Here is a 20,019-nt window from a genome sequence, read left to right as displayed (position 1 = left end):
GCTTTTCTCCCTGTCCCTGCAAGCATCACATTGCTGGAAGAGAATTTCATGCCAGAGCTTGGACCGTCCCTAGCTTGGGAGGTACGGGTTGTCTCTTGGTGACCTAAATGAAAAAATAGGTCCAGAACAGAGTTCCTGATGCTGGGCACTCATCCACTCTTTGAATCATGGGAGGGGAGGCCTAGTCCTAGGTAAACCTAACCTCTTTGAGGAACCACAGTGCCCAAGGCTGGAAACCTCCAGAATCCTCCGGCCCCCGATCCTCCCCAGGGACCCCTGTGGCCTGTCTCACCAGAGCATTCTTCCATCTGTAGATGTTTCAGCTGCTGTACAAGGGAGTCCCATTTCAGGTGTGGGGCTGGGCATGGTCACTCCTGCTGGATGTCTGGAAGGTGAAAACCAAGGACCTAGGGAAATACCAGGTACAGCCTTTCCACCCTCATCCAGAGCAGGACAAACAGGCCAGGTGGTATCAGGAGCCCAGGTCTCCAGCTGGAGGGAATGTCAACCCTGCAGTGGGAGCCCATCACGCATCCTAGGCACAGATGCTAATGTAGGCACCGCGGGTAAGCTGAGCTTGGTACCCCTCCCTGGCTTCAAAAATAAGCCAAACAAGGAGCTTTCTGCAGAATGAAACCTGTTTTTCATCCAGAAGCACTGCTGACTGTTTGGTGGTTGCTGTTGGGGCAGTGAGCCTTTTGTCCATTCTGAGATTGGGCTGGTTTCTCCTCTTGGCCCTGCCCTACAGACCATAAAGGAAAACAGCAAGAGGTCCGCAGCAAACATCTACAGATGGCCCTGGACATCAGCCACATTCTGAGAAACATGTCATGTTCTGGGAGGGCTAAGGCATCAAGTAAGGCCTCTGGGGCTGGAGGATCCCAGGGCAGGTGGGGCAATCCAGAGCTGTGGGGGCTTCCATGGGAATTGGGAGGTCTCAAGGCAGAGGGAGGGGTTCCACAGGAGGAGTCACAGAGCCACCAAGGGGTCTCCTGGCCCAGGGAGCAGCCAACACCATGGACTGAACACCCGCTGGGCTCCAAGCCCTGGGCCAGGCTGGGGCATATGGGGCCAGGAGGCAGCTCAGAGTGGGAGACAGAGAGACAAGTGTGCTCAGAGGGCACCCGTATCTGGATGTAGTGTGGTCCTGAGTTTCTGGCTGGGAAGCGCTTCCAGGGTTTCATATGTATTATGGAGCTGCTTCCTCTCTCCAGGCTCACCCTGCAGGAATCCCAGTGAATATATTGCCACCATCTTGGAGCTCAGTGCCCTCTTAGTGTAATGGCACCAGCAGATCTGCCTGTGCACGGACTTCCTGTACTACCTCACTCCTGAGGGGAGATGCTTCTGCAGGGCCTATGACCTGGTGCACAACTTTAGACACCATCATCCTGGAGCAGCACCTCACCCTCACTTGCCGGGGTGTTGATGACTTCCTCAAGGCTAAGGCCACATTCAAGATTTTGGACTTCAGTGATGCATTTTTGCTGAGCAAGGTGGGCTTCTCCGGGATTTTAGTTCAGGAGGTAGAATGCAGCTTGAGATCAAGTGTCTGATCAAATAACTTGAACTTGATCTGGAGAGCTCTGGGGAGCCATAGAAGTTGTTGGATAAAGGAGGGACAGTCGTATATGTTTTAGAGATGACTGTGGAAGGCTGCCTGGAAGGAGTGAACAAGAGCCAGGAGACCAGGGAGGGAGCTTGTGGGGCAGGTCTGGAGATGACAAGGGAGGGATCCTGCTTTGATGAAAGGTCTTCAGGGAATGTCTCAGGTTACACTCAGGTGTCCTCAGAGCTAGTGTGTTCAGGGGTCTTGCCTCCAGGATGAAAATGAGAAGGAGTTGTCAGACAAGAACATATAAATGAAGGCTGGCATCTTCGTGAGTGCCAATCGTTGTCCTGGTGTGGACTACTGTGGGAATAGGGGTCTCTCCATCCAGGGACATGGTGGATGGACCCTACATCACTCCATTCTGCCCTTCCTTTCCCTCCCATTCTGAGGGCCTCAGTGCAAGGGCGCTGTCCAACCTCTGGTGCTGAAGCAGCCGAGAGACCCAAGCCTGCCACTCAGGATATGACAGCACAGCCAGTGGCCTCTACTGGATCCTGTACAACCTCAGAAGACACCTAGACACTGGGAGTGCTGCCACCACGTGGTGCAAGAGTTCTGAGGGACCGCAATTCTGAAGACATTGAATGGTGGGTGCCAGGCCTCGTGGCTGTTCCCCAGCCCCTCTCATAGGCTCTGCTCCAGCTGGTGAAGGGGGATGACGTCTCTGTCAATTCTGCCATGATTGCCTAGCAGGAAAAGGAGCAGAGCCCAGAAGCAGGGCCTGGTACCCAGCCTGCCTAACAAGGGAGAATTTGTAGGCTTTGTGGACAGAAAGATCTGGGAGTCCATATCACCCACTAACTTGCTGAGACATTAGTAAAATCAGTTTTCTTTTCTGAGCTATGTTTCTGTCATTTGTAAATTGAGAGGAATTTCTTTTACACCACGAGGCTGCTTGGAGAATTAGTGACAGTGTGTGTAGAGCAGGTGCCACGCAGCAGGCATTTGGTGTCCAGACCACTCCTCTTCCGCCTTCATTTTCAGCCTAAATTTGCATTTTGTTCTTAAGACTTTCACTCCCCTTAATTTTGCTCTTTCCTCTGATTCCCAGCTTATCGTCTATCCCATGGAGTCACTAAGATCTATGTGGGTAACAGTCATGTATGCATTTATGTGTATGTACATATATACTTTGTTGGTGTTGGAGTGCGGTGTGGGAATGTGTGTGTGTTTGTGTGTTGGAGTCACTGCATGACTGAAACTGTGCACACCAGGCTGTGTTTTTGCTCATTGCTGGAGGTGCTGTCAGGGGCCTTGCCGTCAACCCCAGGTCTGACCCTTGCAGTGCAGGCAGGACATTCTGGAGCAATCATGACCTTGGAAGGATCCCCAAGGAGTGCCTGGTGGGTATTGGTGGATAAATAACCCAGTTCCCTTGTTCTGGGTATGATGACTCTGAGGCACATGTTCTATGCTGTCTCTCAGAGGTACCTGGCAGGGCTGAGTCCTGGCTGCCACAGTGGAAACTTTCTTGATGAAAGTCCCTTTAACTGCTGCATTCCTTTCCTATCTCTGTTCCCCACTCCTCTACTGGTGTTTCCTGGGATTAGCACCCTAAGGAAGAACTGGCAGTCAAATTAATATCCTAGAGTTATCTCCAAATAAAATTTTTATATTTGAATCTTTGCCTTAGGATCTACTTCTAGGAAATTCAGACTAAGACACACATTTTTCTTTCGGCTCCTTCAATCCCCATAGGCCTGACATTGTGCTGTTTTTATCAAAAAGGAACATGAGAATCAGAGAGGGAAAGTCACTTGCCCAAAGTCACCCAGCTGAACAGTGGTAGAGTTCAACTTTGACCATGGGATGTCTGGCCCCAAGGTGGAGGCTTGCTCCTCTCCTATGAGACTCCTCCCTTATCAGGGTCAAATGAATGAATGGAGGATGTTAAAAGTAGGGTCTCTGAGGCCTTTGCCAGAGAAACCCCAGGCTCATGGCTGGTGCCTGTGTTCTCATTCTTACCTCATTAAGAGTAGTAATGAAAAACATGCTCAGTGCTGACCGTGTGCCTGGGGGTGTTGTTGTAGGCATTCCGCTTACTTTAATTCATTTAATTTTCACAATAACCTTGTTTTTACTTCTAGTTGTTAGATGAAAAAACCGAGGCAAAGAGCAATACAGAGAGTTGCAAAAATTCATACTGCTGGTCCAGGTTTGAACCAAGCAGTCTGCACCTGGAGTCCTTGTTTGTAACCATGGCACCCTGGCTTCACACATATCTCATCGTGGAGTTCCACCTTGTGTCAGGCATGGCACTGAACAGCTTCTTTTAAGAACATAATTTGTAGCCAGGCGCCGTGGCTCATGCCTGTAATCCCAGCACTTTGGGAGGCCGAGGCGGGCGGATCATGAGGTCAGGAGATTGAGACCATCCTGGCTAACTTGGTGAAATCCCGTCTCTAGTAAAAATACAAAAAATTAGCTGGGCATGATGGTTGGCGCCTATAGTCCCAGTTACTTGGGAAGCTGAGGCAGGAGAATGGCGTGAACCCGGGAGGCAGAGCTTGTAGTGAGCCGAGATGGCGTGACTGCACTCCAGCCTGGGCGAGAGAGTGAGACTCCATCTCAAAAAAAACACATAATTTGTAATTATGTAAATTACTAATTCTACTTCAAAGTGCCACACAGCCTTCATGTGATAAAACGAAGCAATTGGTAAGTCTAAGCACTGAGAAAAAACATTCTTTTTTCCACTCCCAACTCCATTCCAACAGTTGGGACAGTGTTTTCTCTGTGCCTATAGAAACCTCAGCTACTGTGCCGAGGAGTCTGGTCCCTTTGGGGAATGTGGCAGTCAGGTGCTGGCAGGGACCTCGAAGTGGCTGAAAGATCATTAAGAAAAAGCTGTTTACAAAGGTGTGGGCTGGGCCAAGGGGAACCATGAGGGATGGCGCAGGTCCCTGGTGTTAGCGTCATCTGGGAGCTGTCACCACACTCCAGGCTGATGGGGCCATAGAGAAGCTGTTCCAATAACTCAGAGGGAGAATCTACAGCTGAAAGAGGAGGCCAGGGGACACATCACTCCCTGTGCCCTTTGACTGCGTGTGGATGCCCCCACCGACCACACTACCATCTCCTTATTAGATTGGAGAGGCTGCAGAGTGGGGTTCTAAGCCTCCTATTGTGGCTCACCTCCAACAGTGAGTCAGCAGCAGCTCCCCTAGCCCCACAGCCCAGGGTCCACTTAGCCCCTCTATCCTGTACGGTCCCCTTCCCCACTGGGAAGCAGATACCCAAATGAGCAGCAGAATCCTGTCTCTCCCTGCAGGTCCCTCTGCTCCTTATGAGTGGTGTTTTGTGGGTGTCCTCCCTTGGTTTAGGATGGGAAACAACCTTTTCCCTTCCACAGGGATTGTTTCTGTGTACCCCACCCTGAGTTTTCCCCTGGTGGGACAACGGGCAGGTGGGGATGGTGGGACGAACTCTTTAGAACCAGCAATGCCAAACACATCCCACTCTGGGGAAGTTCATTCTAAGTGTCATGGATCCTCTGGAATTTTTTGAAGGTTTCCTGTTTTCTTCTCCCCCTAACCAGCTCATCTGATCTCCTGGGATCTCTACTAAGATGTTGGCAGCCCAACCAGCTGGTCTGGCCCTGGACATGCCTTCAGGGACTGGTTATGCTTCATGACCTGTGTTGCGGTCATTAGTAAACAGCACCTGCTTCTAGCTTTACTGTTGGGCCTGATTTTATCCCTACCCTGGCTTTTCATTGCAGCTGCTTCCTGCTCCCTCCATGGACCTGCACAGAATTGTCCCATGTTTCTGTTTGTTTGGGCACCACTGAGGAAGGAAGCATGAAGGACGCAGAGGTCAGGCCATTCTATTGCCCTCCTGCTGCTGGGTCTTTAATCCTGAGATGGCTTCAGGGGCTGGTCCTTCTCCATGGCCCCCTCCACATATCTCAGGTTTGTGCTCAAAAGTCACCTCTTGGAGGGGTCTCTCCCTGTCACTGTGTTTGGAACAGCTCCTTTGGTTTCTTTCTAGCTCATCTCACTCTGGTAATGTCTTTCATTACCACCACCATCTGAGCTGGTCTTATGACCTGTTAGCTTCCTTCATCAAACATGAGCACTAGGATGACAGGGACCTCATCTGTTCTGTTCCTCCTGTGGCCTGGGTCCTAGCACCATGTCTGGTACAGTGTAGATGCTCAAGGGAAGTTTACTTTATAGAACTGTCTACCTGGGAGATGTTGCTGTTAGTCTAACCTGTACCATTTTGTAATCCTGCAGCCATTTTGCAAACCCTGGTCAGAATGAAACATTCCTTGGGAACTCGGGCCATGAGAAGCATCCTTCCTGACCACCTGACTGCGGAAACATCCTTATCGCATCCTCCCGGGCGAAGGCCCAACAGCCTGACTGCAGGAACATCCTTGCCATATCCTGCCGGGCAGCAAGCTCTACCGCCCAGACCCCTCCTTCCCAGTCCCATGATCGCCCCAGCCTGTGAGCGGCAGTTGGTGATGGCACTAAGCTGATTTCCTCCTCTGCAGGGTTTTGCTAGTAATAAAGGTGTTGCTGTTGAAGCCACCAACCATGTCTCTCTGTCTTTCTTTAACCCTAGCCTTGCCTTCAAAACCTAACAATAACTCTACCTCTCCATTTTACCAAGGATTATATGAGACTCAAGGAGAGCAAGAGACTTACCCAGAATTACAGAGCCAGTGAGTCACAGAGCCTGAACTTGAGCTCAGTTCAGCTGAATCCAGAACTCGTGTCTTCCTGAGAGTCCAGGGAAGGAAAGGTGGAACTGCAGCCAGTGGGTGCCCACATGCTTGTCCTAGGAGACCCCAGGTAGCCTCCTGGGAATTGTGTCCTCATGGGCACGAAAGAAGAACTGCTCACCTGTGCTGCATCAGCTAAGTGTCCCCATTGTCCCAAATTGTTATATTGTTTCAAAGTTTTGTTTTAATAACTAAATTTCTCACAGCTCAGTGTTCAAAACAAAGCACAGAGGCATGTAGAAAGTCGTGTGGGTTTTTCTCATTTTCTTCCCAGTGACTACAAATGAATGTACAAAAGAACACAAATACACTCATACTTTTATATAGAGATGAGGCCCTCCCACTCATATTCCTCTGCCACTAGCCTTCCTTTTTTTTTTTTTTTTTTTTCCCACGGGAGGACCACTTCTCCATGTCTAGTCCATGTCATTTGGGAAGGCTGACCCACCCTGGGCAATCAGCAGGGTAATTCATTCAGGAGTGGGCATGTGATCCAAGCTGGGCTCATGGAAGTCATCCCTGAACTTTTGATGAAACTGCTGGGAATGAGGTGCTTTCTTTTTATTGGCATAGCTATTTGCAAGGAAGTAAGTGATGTGAACTTTATGGGGCCATTTTTGCTGCTGTCTCAAAACAGCCACTAGAAAAGCAGAGCTGACACAGGAAATGAAGGGACAGAATGAGCCTTGGTTGATATTAGTTGACCCCTGATCCCGTTGAGCCAGAAGCCCATCTACTCATGGACATTTTAAGTAAGTAGAGCCAAATAGTTCAATGTTCTGCTGGATCAAGTTAGGTGTCAGTCACTTGCGGTCAAGAGAGTCCTGCATAATAGCACTTTCTCTGATGCTTAGGTCCCACCTGCCAGAGCTTTAGAGCTGTAGAAGGGTAAAGTGAACCCAGGCAGTGCTGAGCTAGCCAGTCTCCTGGCTAAGTGTGCAAAGGAACCCTGGAGTCACTACCACTTTGGTCTCACAAATAGCCTTGCCTGCTGCTTACCATACAGCCACAGGCGTATTGCTTCCCTGAGTCCTTAGGCATTATACCTGTTTTTGAAAATGATTTTTATTTAAGAAAATGTTTTGTGGAGATGGTGTCTTGCTATGTTGCCCAGGCTTGTCTTGAACTCCTGGCCTAAAGTGCCGAGATTATAGGCATGAGCCACTTTGCTTGGCCAGCACTGTACTTCTATTAGTTATCAGTGCTTTTTTGTTCTGTAGTTTCTAGTGTGTGCTTGAGTGTGTGTGTGTGAGTTTATGTGTGTGTGTGTTTATGTGTGTGAGTGTGTGTGTGTTTATGTGTGTGTTTATGTGTGTGTGTGTGTTTGTGTATGTGTGTGTGTTTATGTGTGAGTTTGTGTATGTGTGTGAGTTTATGTGTGTGTATGTGTTTGTGTGTGTTTATATGTGTTTGTGAGTTTATGTGTGTGTGTTTGTGTGTGTGTATGTGTGTTTATATGTGTGTTTGAGTTTATATGTGTGTGTGTTTGTGTGTGAGTGTGTGTTTATGTGTGTGTTTGTGTGAGTGTGTTTGTGTGAGTTTATATGTGTGCGTGTGAGTTTATGTGTGTGAGTATATGTGTGTGAGTGTGTGTGTTTGTGTGTGAGTTTTTATATGTGTGTGTGTGAGTTTTTACTTTCATCTTGCAGGGTTATTGCAAGCATCAAGTGGGATCCTGTAGGCACAGCACTCAGTCCAGTGACTGGCACATACAGTGAGCTCTCTCTGTTCTCCTGGTTCAGAGAATTACTTAAGGATCTGTGATGTGTGCCAATTTTCAATGCCCTGGATACATAATGGGGAGTACTGTTGCCGTAACTTTGCACTAGTTTTAATTCATTTTATCTGTTTAGCATGAGATACCTCAAAGTCACTGAATAAATTTGTCACACACAAACACACACACACACATATATATATACACACACACACAAGTATGTTTCTTCAGAGCTGACAAGCTTATTTTTTATTCCCTGATGCTGCAGTAGAGGCCACTGTGTTCTGATTTTTTGAGTGATGGCTGCCAGCTCTCCAAGTGTCACAGTCGGTGAGGCATCCATGGGGGCGAGTGCCAAAGATGAGTGTGGCCAGTCAGCATCTGCAAGCCCATTTTGTCTATTCTCTTTATAATATGTTTTATTCATTTTTTAGGTTTATCATTTAATCTGTTATAAACATCTCTCCTAAAATGTTTCTTAGTTCTACTAGGGGTTAGTTTCATGAAATAAGTCCAGAAATAGTCCAGGGCAGCCAGGGATACCCTACATGCCATTGGGGAGGGAGAAATCTTGTAGATTGAAGGTTTTGTTGTAGGGACAATCGTTCCAATTGTCTTCAAGTTGCTAAACCCAACTCAGGGCACTTCATCTTATTTGAAGAGAGCAGCAAGCAGAGAGAGCAAAGGGAACTTGGTTAAGAGAAAAGAAGAACAATAACTCTCCCCTTTCCAAACAGATTTTCAGAAATCCAAAGCAGTGAATTCTGCATTTCACATTGGCCAGGACTATAAGCTCTGCTCACTACAGTTATGAGAAAAACTGGGAAACTCATTTAAAGACATAAGCCAGGGCCAGGCATGGTGGCTCATGCCTGTAATTCCAGCAATTTGGGAGGCCAAGGTGGGAGAATCACTTGAGCACAGGAATTTGAAACCAGTCCAGGTAACATAACGAGACCCAGTCTCTACAAAAACAAAACAAAACAAAAGCTGGGTGCGGTGGTGCACACCTGTTATGCCTGCAGTCCTACCTACTCAGGAGTCTGAGCTGGGAGATCACATGAGGAGTTCAAGGCTGCATGAGCTTTGATTATGCCACTGCACTCCAGCCTGGGAGACAGAGTGAGACCATTTTTCAAAAAATTATAAATTAAATAATAAAATGTGGATAAACACATAAATACATTTAAACAGTGCTCCTTGGAAAAAGTGAATCTATGTTCCCTTAGTGAAGAAGATGAGAATAACGGATATAGCAGGGAAATGGACAGCATTGGCCACATTAGACCAAAATGAAAGTCATAACAGGTACCCCAAATCAGTACCATTAAAACCACATAATGTGACCATAATGCAGTCAAATTGTGACCAACAAAAACAAACTGACAAAAAAGGTATCATGGAGCATACGAATTCTAAATCTAAATTGAATGGAGCTCAGAAGGGCTTCACATTGAAAATGAAACCATGTGTATGTAAGTGACTTGTAACAAAGCTATCACATAGCAACATTAAGGTGGCAGAGGGGAAAGGGTGCTAAGACAGATATCTGTCATCTTATACCATTTTTTAAGAAAGGAAAAACTACAAAATTATGAATTTGAGTTCTAATTGAGGGATAAGACAATGATAAAGGCAACAATTGTTAACATTTACTGTGCTTCAGTCCTACCCTGTGCTCGTTCATGCCCAATAAGTGAAGAGCTGGAACTGAAAGCTTTCTTATATTTATTCAATTGTAGTCTCCCTCCAGGGTGTGGAATCATGTATAAAGGAGGGATAGTGTTTAAAGAGGTATTTTCTGCATTTTTTACTTCCATAAGCAGTCTCTGCTGTGTGAATTCTTGTATGAACTATGAGTCTGAGGCAACACTGAGGCTTTTTTTCATATTCCTTACTTTCATAGCTTCTCTCTAGTGAGAACAAATACCTACTCAAGATGAAGGAAGATGAAAGGCTTTCCATAGACTTTACCTTCAGAGGGTTTCTTTTCACACTTCTGTAAGATAGGAGAGTTCAGGAAAGATGTTCTCATGCATGTTAACTCATTGAGCTCCCTTCCAGTATGTACCCCTCACATGTTCAGTTTGGTGAAAAATTAATGATGATTTCCCTGCCTTTCACTCACAGGGCTTCTCACTATTGTAAATCTTAAGATGGCTTTTAATTCTGATGACTTTGCAAGTCTTTTCCACATTTATAGGGTTTTTTCCAGCATGACTCCTTATATGTGCATGTTTTGAGGCTTGCTGAAGGCTTTCCCACATTCCTTACATCCATAGGGCTTCTCCAAAGTGTTCTTTCTTAAATGTTTATTAAGGTGTAGGGAAGATCTAAAGCCTTTCTGACTTTTGTTACATTCATAAGGTTTCTCCCCAGTGTGAATTTTCATAATGTCGCATAAGAAATGACTGATACCTAAAGGCTTTCCTTCATTTGGGACATGTACAGCTTTTCTCTCCCGTAGTACTACTCCTGTGTGAACCAGAATTTGGAGCAGGGACAGAGGTTTTTCCACTTTGATGATTCTTATTCTTCATCTCTACAGTACAGGACTGCATCTGGACAGCACGGACTGAGTTATTTCTGAAGATGTTTTCACATTGAGTAAAATTATACATTTTCTCCCTGAGTTATGTGTGCCCTAAGGCATATGTCTCCACTGCGGGCTATTCCAAATGGACTCCACTCATGAATGTTTGTTCTTGTATTAATTTTACTATGTATATGATGGACATTGTTCTGACTGCCTGTCCATGTGTTTGATTTTAGCTATTTTTCTCCCATATGAAACCCAGTGAATGTTGCACCTCAAGACTATCATGTTGATTGTTTTCATATATATTACTTTATTGCAATAGTTTTTGGGAAACAGGTGGTTTTTGGTTACATGGAAAAGTTACTTAGTGGTGATTTCTGAGATTTTGGTGTATGCATTACTCGAGTAGTGTACATTGTACCCAATGCGTAGTGTTTTATCCCTCACCCCCCAATCTTCCCTCGGAGTCCCCAAAGTCCATTAAATCATTCTTAAGCCTTTACACCCTCATAGCTTAGCTCCCACTTATAAGTGAGAACATACAATATTTGTTTTTTATTCCTGAGTTACTTCACTTAGAATAATCATCTGTAACTCCATCCAGGTTGCTGCAAGTGCCATTATTTGATTCCTTTTTAGGGCTGAGTAGTATTCCATGGTGTATCTATAACACATTTTCTTTGTCCACTCATTGGTTGATAGACATTTAACCTGGTTCCACATTTTTGCAACTGTGAATTGTGCTGCTATGAATGTGTGTACATGTGTCTTTTTCATATGACTTCTTTTCCTCTAGGTAGGTACCCAGGAGTGAGCTATACTAATTTAAATAGAGATAATTATAAAATAATGACCAAGTGAAAATTACTGTTTCTAGTAGTAAAACAAAATACATTTATTGAGTAAAGTTAGAACATATTTCTGCTCACATAAAGAACATATAACTTTTGTATTTTGAATAAATGATATGCTTTATCTCACTGGACTCATCCTATGGTTAATTGGTCAGGGAGGGTTGGAGAAAGTAGCATATCTTTAAATTTAGCTTCTTGATTCACATTTTTCTTCAAGTTTCAATAGCTCTCTTTTAGTTAAATGCCTCTAGGAAGATGTTCAGATGCTTTGGGCTTTCTGTGGCCTCAAGGCAAAGGGATAGTGAATCTGAAGTCTCTTACTGTCTTCATGCTGTTCTCTAGACCTCTGCTTTCTCTGTGGCAGAGGGTCTCTCTGGTCTGATCGCTGGGGCCATTGCATTGCTCTTCTCTGAGATGAAGCTTGTACTCTTGAATCAGAGTACAGTGGAATTCTCTTGCTTTATTAGCCTCCTGTTGGCTTGGATAAGATCTTCAGATCTCTCTGAGTTTCCACATCCTTCTTCTTCCACAGTATGTCTGGAATGGTCACATGAGATTTTTTGGCAGGATCATTTTGCCCCATGGGGCAGTGGCCCCATGTTATGTATGTTAGTTTTCAACTCAGTTAAGTTGCTTATTTACCTCTATGACACTTCCACATTGCATAGATTCATAGGTCTAGCAGGAGGTTTTTTATGTAAACCAAGCTGCCAGAAACAAGAATGCTGACACAGTAAGTCAGGCAAACCAAATTTATTACTCACAGAGGAGCAGGAAGAATCAGCAAAAGCCTAAGTTCTATGGCAAGTCTGACCCTTGAGGTCAGAAAAGTTGCCCAGGGTTGACGGAGTCTCCTCTGCACATGCCCCACTGTGTACTGCGCTGAGGAACCCCTGAGTGCTCCACCCTAGGTTTCACACCCCATGTGCACCTTGGCTCTCTGAGTTTAAGAGTTGCAGGGATATCCTGTTCTAGGAACAACAAGGACAGATTCCAGACTGTCCCAGACAGTTTCTACTCATCTCAGGATATTGTCTTCTTGGAACATTCTAAAATTATCCTGAGAATTAGGAGATACAGAAAGCTGAGTTGGTCAAGGGCATTCAGGTCTTTTCCTCCTGACCACATAAACAAAGTAGACTATGAAACAATAAGCGTTGGCAGAAATAATCATATTGCATTATGATAGCCATTCTTCATTATGATACAAAGAATTTATCCTCCAAAAAGTTATCTGAATTCTAAATCTGAATGAACCCAACAAAACATAGATTTGGGGCTGTTGTTACAGTTTAATTAAAGATATACTAAACCAACAAATTTAATTAAATACATAAACTTTAGAAGAAGTAGAAAAATCATAGACTCATTTCAATAAAGGCTGGCATACAAAGTTATCAGATATATGACAGAGTAATAGAAAATGTTGACACTGCTTAGGGCAAAGTGAATATGATTGATATTCAGATGAACAAAGAAGATAGGAAACTCAATAGAAAAATGAGCCAAAAAATTCCAATACATTATTAACAATCTGACAAATGCAAATATACACAAATAAAATGAGATCTGTATTTTCACCACTTGCTTAGAAAATATAAGAATCCTAGGTAACATTGAGTGATGAGGATATGAGGAAAACAACCTTTATAGGCAATGGATGGGAAATTAAATGGTATTAACCATTTCAGAAAATAACATGACAGGACCCATTTGAAAGTATGCATACTCTACAACCTGTCTCGATGATGGGTACATATCCCTGATATAGTTTGGATGTGTGTCCCCTCCAAATCTCATGCTGAAATGTGATCCCCCATGTTGGAGGTGGGGCCCAGTGAGAGGTATTGGATCATGGGGTGGATCCCTTATGAATAGTTTAGCACAGGAATGTCCAACCTTTTGGCTTCCCTGGACCACAATGGAAGAAGAATTTTCTTGGGCCACACATAAAATACACTAAAAATAGCTGATGAGCTAAACACACACACACACACACACACACACTCTTATGTTTTAACAAAGTTGACAAATTTGGGCCACATTCAAAGCTGTTCTGACCTGCATTCAGCCCACAGGCTGCAGGTTGGACAAGCTTGGTTTAGCACAATCCACTTGAGTGAGTTCTTCTCAGTGAGTTCATAGAGATCTGATTGTTAGAAACAGCCTGGGACTGCCCCCTTCTCTCTCTTACTCCCTCTCTGACAATGTGACACACTGGCTCCCCTTCACCTTCTGCCATGATTGTAAGCTTCTTGAGGCCTCACTCAGAGCAGATGCCATTGCTTCCTGTGCAGTCTGCAGAACACTGAACCAAGATAAACCTCTTTTATTAAAAAATAAATAAATAAATTACCCAGCATTGGGTATGTCTTCTTAGCGATACAAAGAGACTAACACAGCCCCTGACAAACTGTGACACATGACCAAACAGTGTTTTCATAAGGATACCATAAGGAAGTGAATATTTCAGTAGCAGGATATCAGTGTGAATTCTACTGCAAGACTGGATAGGGAAAATGTGGTTGATTCATTTTATTGAAAACTATGCAGCAGCTACAGGGGAATAAACAACCAAAAATAACCTACAGCAATGTGGGAATGTATGAAGGATGTTATGCTCTGTGAAAAAATTAGAAATAAAATTAGATTTATAGCACAATACTCTTTAAGCAAAATGTATACACTCATGTATATACACATACACACACTCAGAAAACAACCTTCTTATCTTGTAAGAATTCTTTAAGAGTAAAGAACCTATGTCAAACACATTAGCATGCCTGTCTTTGACAAGGGATAAGGAATAAAAAAATGAAACAAGTAAAACCAGAGAAACTTGTAGGAAACAATAATGATAATGTCTCATGAAGTAAAGAATGTGATTAATTTTTTGCAACTGTGGTATAAAAACAGATTGTCAAATTCAAATGTAATGAGCTCTGGCATAGAGCTTATTGTAGGGCAAAAATCAAATTTAAATACTTAGTTTATATAGTTTGATGCAGGAATGGTCTCCTTTGTGAAGTAGTAAGATACACTAAACAATCCATGGGTGTATGGGAAGAAATACTCAAAATGCTACTTATATTTATTTTTTACTCATTTTTCCAACAGTTTAGTATCTAAATGCTAGGGGAGGCCAGATGTGGTGACTCACACCTGTAATCCCAGTACTTGATTGGAGAGGGTGGGGGTCAAGGCAGGAAGAACACTTGAGGCCAAGAGTTCTAGACCAGCCTGGGCAACCTAGTCGGCTTTTGTGTCCACACAAAAAAATTAAAAATTAGCCAAGCATGATGTCGTGCACCTGTAGTTCCATGTACTGGAGAGGCTGAAGCAGGAGGATCACCTGAGGGAGGAGTTTGAGGCTGCAGTGAACAATGGTTATTCCACTGCACCATAGCCTGGGTGACAGAATGAGACCCTGTCTCTTAAGTGGAAATAAGTAAGTGTGAGGAGAACACGTGATCTTTCTAGTTTTCAGTCCCTCTTGCAGTTCCCTGTAGATTATTTTGCTTATTCCCAGTGTTCCAGCTGTCTCTGCACATTGTAGGCTTGTTCTTCTACCTACTCAAGTTCCCAGATCCAGCAAATGTCCTCAGAGATGGGCTCTGCTGCTAATCTGTGATCACCAAGGAAGGGCTTGTTTTTCTCTGAAATTTAGTTCATTGAAACTTTAGGCCCACAATTTTTTGATGGCTTTAAACAAAAAAATAATAATTTTTTAAAGTTCATCCAATATTTTCTCATTATGGCAGGAACAATTGTCTTTGGTAACTTTATTTTAATTGGAATAAGAATTTCTAACATTGGCATTGTAATGAGGTTTTTGGTCTTTGACCCTAGCGGAGCAATTAAATCCACGTCTATTTCTTCTCTTATGCATGTATTGAAGGATCAAATGAGAAAATATATGTAGAGTGCACAAAGTGTCTGATGTACACTAGTGATATACAGTTGTATTATGACTACACACTGAAAACACATAATCAACCAGATTGCTTCCTGAGAACTAGAGCCAGGCTTTTCCAATGATACTTCACTGTCAAATAATTCTATTCAATTTTTCATGGGACTTAGGGTTTGGTCCATGAAGTGCTGCCACAGTATGCAAATCAATTATGTCAATAAATGTGCTAATTTATTCAGCAAACATATTCTTGTAGCAATAGTTACTCATTGAAAGAAGTAACATATTTAATTTCTAGTAGAAGCTACTTCTCTCATTGTGAACTCGTTACAAAGCTTGAATGCTCTAGCTATTTTGAGGAGCATTAATAGGCATTACCCAAAGAAGATGATATATTCCCTAGACAACAAGAACTCTTATTTCTCTTTATCTTCTTTTTGATAAATGCTACAGTCTCTTGGTAGTGAATCCAGATTCTGTGGTGTGGGGAAAAGAAAGAGAGATCAGACTGTTACTGTGTCTGTGTAGAAAGAAGTAGACACAAGAGACTCCATTTTGTTCTGTATTAAGAAAAATTCTTCTACCTTGAGATGCTGTTAATCTGTAACCCTACCCCCAACCCTGTGCTGGCAGAGACATGCACTGTGTTGACTCAAGGTTTAATGGATTTAGGGCTATGCAGGATGTGCTTTGTTAAACAAGTGCTTGAAGGCAGTTTGCTTGTTAAAAGTCATCACCACTCTCTAATCTCAAGTACCCAGGGACACAATACACTGCGGAAGGCTGCAGGGACCTCTGCCTAGGAAAGCCAGGTATTGTCCAAAATTTCTCCCCAAGTGATAGTCTGAGATATGGCCTCATGGGAAGGGAAAGACCTGACCATCCCCCAGCCAGACACCCATAAAGGGTCTGTGCTGAGGAGGATTAGTAAAAGAGGAAGGCCTCTTTGCAGTTGAGATAAGAGGAAGGCATCTGTCTCCTGCTCATCCCTGGGCAATGGAATGTCTCAGTGTAAAACCTGATTGTATGTTCCATCAACTGAGATAAGGAGAAAACCGCCTTAAGGCTGGAGGTGAGACATGCTGGCCGCAATACTGCTCTTTAATGCACCGAGATGTTTATGTATGTGCACCTCAAAGCACAGCACCTTTTCTAACCTTGTTTATGGCACACAGACATTTGTTCACATGTTTTCCTGCTGACCCTCTCCCCACTATTACCCTATTGCCCTGCCACATCCCCCTCTCTGAGATGGTAGAGATAATGATCAATAAATACTGAGGGAACTCAGAGACCAGTGCCAGCGTGGATCCTCCATATGCTGAGTGCCGGTACCCTGGGCCCATGTTTCTTTCTCTATACTTTGTCTCTGTGTCTCTTTCTTTTCTCAGCCTCTCATCCCACCCAATGAGAAACACCCACAGGTGTGGAGGGGCAGGTCACCCCTTCATGTGGGATGTACAAAACAATTCTCCACAAATTTAAATTTATGCCTATGATCATGTGTAATGAAATTAGTCCTCAAGAGCCAAGTTGAGACCATGTTCAGAATGAAAGCTTCAGAAACCCATGGCAAACACATGAATATAAGACCATTTTAGACACAGTCCCCAGATTACCTCTGAATTCAGTGGGGGAAAAGTGACAAGGAGCAATATTTAGGGCATCTAGGATAGTGCTACCTTCTCATCCCTAACATAAGCAAATTAAAACTTCATACTAATGCTCTGAAGCCTAATAATAACTAGTAAGGTTTATGTCTGTCAAAAAGCCACTGCAGGCTACTGTTAAAACCAGCTACACAACCATCTGGAAGCCATTTGCCTCCTTCTGGTTAAAAACAGTCCCATGTCTACTGATGATGTAGTTAAGGCTGTATCAAGATCTTCTATCTCTCAGCAGGGATGTGGTTTCCCAAATGCTAATGTTTGACCAACAAAAGTTTTGCAGCCAGAGTTTGCGCAAGTATTGGTAGATAGAAAATACAAAATCCAACCATTTCTCATGAATGATTAAACAAAAAAAGAATGCAAGAATCCTGTGTGCGTGTGCATGGGTATATGCATGGGTGTGTGTGTATTCAAGTTTGTTAACTTTATTAACTTTGTTTAAAATTTAATTTTAAAATTAGGTTGGGGAGTAAAATATCATTCTTCCTCTCTCATCATAAAACTTTTGGCTCACGGGATTCTGACATTCCATCATGCTTGGAAAAGTTGGATTTATGAAACCAGTAGCCGGACTGAGCCAGCCTATGCAGCTCTTACATAGGTGCTCCCTATTTTGTGCACAAGCATCCTCAAGAGACCAAAGATAGTGATTGAGAGAGATGGGCTCTGAAGTCTTTTTATTTCAACTTCTTGGAATCACCACCTTAAACATCAAAATCTTTTGGGTCATTTATCAGATTAATTACTTTTTCCATAAAAAGAGTGAGTTGAGAGGATAACAAGAAACTCCCTGTCCCTGCTTCATCCTGAAAACAGGAGAATCAATATCTTAACCCTGTTTTTGAGAGATGAATGGGTAGGTCAACATTGCTTGGCTATTTGTCCTTCCACTTGGGACAGATTACCACTGCACTTTCCCCTCAATCTCTAGAATCATGGCTTATGGAAAACAATTTTGTACTGAATTACTAAATGCATCAAAACTTTATTAGACTTATTATCAAAGAGCATGCTCAGATGTATCTATTATAAATAGTAATAAAAATATAAAAACCTAAAAACAATATTATAAATAACAGAGAAAAGGTATGCACTGTTATGAAAGCCTTTCATATTTAGGGATATCAGGTAAGGCTTCCCTTCGTGGGGAAGATGAAGAGCAAACTAAAATAAGAGTAAGAGCTGGCTGGATGTGGTGGCTCACACCTGTAATCCCAGCACTTTGGGAGGCTGAGGCAGGTGAATCACGAGGTCAGGAGATCGAGACCATCCTGGCTAACACCATGAAACCCCGTCTCTACTAAAAATACAAAAAAAAAAAAAAATTAGCCAGGTGAGGTGGCAGGTGCCTGTAGTCCCAGCTACTTTGGAGGCTAAGGCAGGAGAATGGCATGAACCTGGGAGATGGAGCTTGTAGTGAGCTGAGATCACACCACTGCACTCCAGCCTGGGCAACAGAGCAAGACTCCATCTCAAAAAAACAAACAAAAAAAAAACCCAGTAAGAGCTAATTATATAAACCTGGGATGGTAGTGGGAAAAGCATATGAATAAGAAGACCAAAGTCCAGGAGACAAGAAGAAATATATCTGAATCATTTAGTTCAACAATGTTCATGCCACAAGAGGGGGGAAAGAGAAAGGAAACAAATTTTGTACTGCTTGAACCCATTTTTGGACTCTTGCTATTTATCCTAGTACTAACGTGAAGTCTTTGGGAGTTTTTAAGCAAAGCAATTTACAATGCAAATTGTATTTGCATTTCAAGTAATCATTCCAGATATAGCACAGAACCATTTTTGGAGAGAGAATCAGGGAGAGCACTTTAGAGGTTCTCACCATAGCCCAGGTGAGAGAGTGATGGGCTGGAATCCATGATGGCAATGAAGATAGAAAGAGAAAAATTCATTCAAGAAATAGAGAGAAGGTAAAATCTGACAATACTTGGTGATTTGAAATGGAAATGTGAAGAAGAAAATGTCAAAAGTTAATTGAGATGTCAGGTGTAGGTAGAAGTTGACATCATTTGCTGCAAAAAAAAAACACACACACAAGAAGAATACCACTTTCAGTGAAAGAGACATCTGGGTTGCTTAAAGTATGAAATGGGACTTTTCCAATTTCATGCAGGTAAATTAGGAGGGCTCAACCTTGAAGCACAAAAGATGGTGATTATGGTAACACTGGCCTTGAGACCAGGACCTGTATCAGACTCTAGAAAGATCAGTGTGATTTGGAGCAGGTACAGACTGGAATATTTCAGTGAAAAACAAAACAAAACAAAGCATTCACACTTATTCTTGCAGCCTTGTTTTATTTGAAGGAGTAAATAATTGGGCCTTATTCAGAGCTGCAAGTTTTGGTAAGCCCTAAAATGAACAAAAAATTGTATAAAATGGAAGCAATTCACCAATTCTATTCACTTAACATTTACTGATTTTCTTCCAGGTTTAAGTATTATGATAGTCATTGTACAGTAATTACTTTATTGACCATCTTCTCTGGTGTTTGTATTAATACACAAAGAAATCTAACTTTAAAAGTGTAGCATTGCTTTCAGCTGACACCAATCATTACCCGTTATCTCAATTCATTAAATCATATTGTTTCAGCAATAAGTTACATTTTGAAGTTAATGAAATACTTAAAAGGCTGTGATGTTGTAGCTGCAGATGTAGTATGCAAAACACATTTGATTCATGTTATTTAGCACAATTTCATCTTAAAATCTTATCTATAAAACATTTTTACACATCTATTATTCTCTTGCTTTATGTAAAGTTTATGTCATTTATCTCTATCAAATTAAGTTACATTTCTAGTTTTACTCAACCATAAAAGACAGCATTAATTTTTACAAACATTAATAATGAACTATATTCACTCATAACTATTTATGTCTAAGTTGTCTTAGATTTACTGAACAATTTCTGAGTAACTAATGGCTAACCTTTTATTTTTCTATGATGATAAACATTTTTACA

At 42.8% G+C, this 20,019-nt stretch overlaps 1 long non-coding RNA gene and 3 pseudogenes across 2 annotated transcripts in view, besides 1 other annotated feature; 3 read left to right on the top strand and 1 right to left on the bottom strand.

The window, feature by feature from the left end:
• Positions 1-552, top strand: part of ANKRD20A8P (ankyrin repeat domain 20 family member A8, pseudogene) — a 96,148-nt pseudogene extending 95,596 nt beyond the window's left edge. Inside the window, exons 23-24 of the transcript NR_003366.2 lie at positions 315-350; positions 448-552. The product of NR_003366.2 is annotated as an ankyrin repeat domain 20 family member A8, pseudogene (transcript). The remainder of the gene's footprint in view (positions 1-314; positions 351-447) is intronic.
• Positions 296-6,154, top strand: FAM95A (family with sequence similarity 95 member A). The gene is made up of 3 exons (NR_038409.1): positions 296-2,199; positions 5,334-5,523; positions 5,851-6,154. It is a non-coding gene; the product is annotated as a family with sequence similarity 95 member A (long non-coding RNA).
• On the top strand, positions 1,201-2,221 carry CYP4F32P (cytochrome P450 family 4 subfamily F member 32, pseudogene; annotated as a pseudogene).
• On the bottom strand, positions 10,185-10,901 carry LOC100419684 (zinc finger protein 114 pseudogene; annotated as a pseudogene).
• Positions 16,170-16,370: a silencer, noted in NCBI's record as "peak3791 fragment used in MPRA reporter construct". NCBI's record gives its function as "represses an SCP1 promoter by STARR-seq MPRAs in K562 erythroleukemia cells {active_cell/tissue: K562}" and the evidence as "EXISTENCE:reporter gene assay evidence [ECO:0000049][PMID:32103011]".

The sequence above is a fragment of the Homo sapiens genome, chromosome 2 (genome assembly GCF_000001405.40).
Source record: "Homo sapiens chromosome 2, GRCh38.p14 Primary Assembly".
Taxonomy (NCBI): domain Eukaryota; kingdom Metazoa; phylum Chordata; class Mammalia; order Primates; family Hominidae; genus Homo; species Homo sapiens.
Note: the sequence above shows the minus strand (reverse complement) of the source record. Positions and strands in the feature narration are given on the sequence as shown.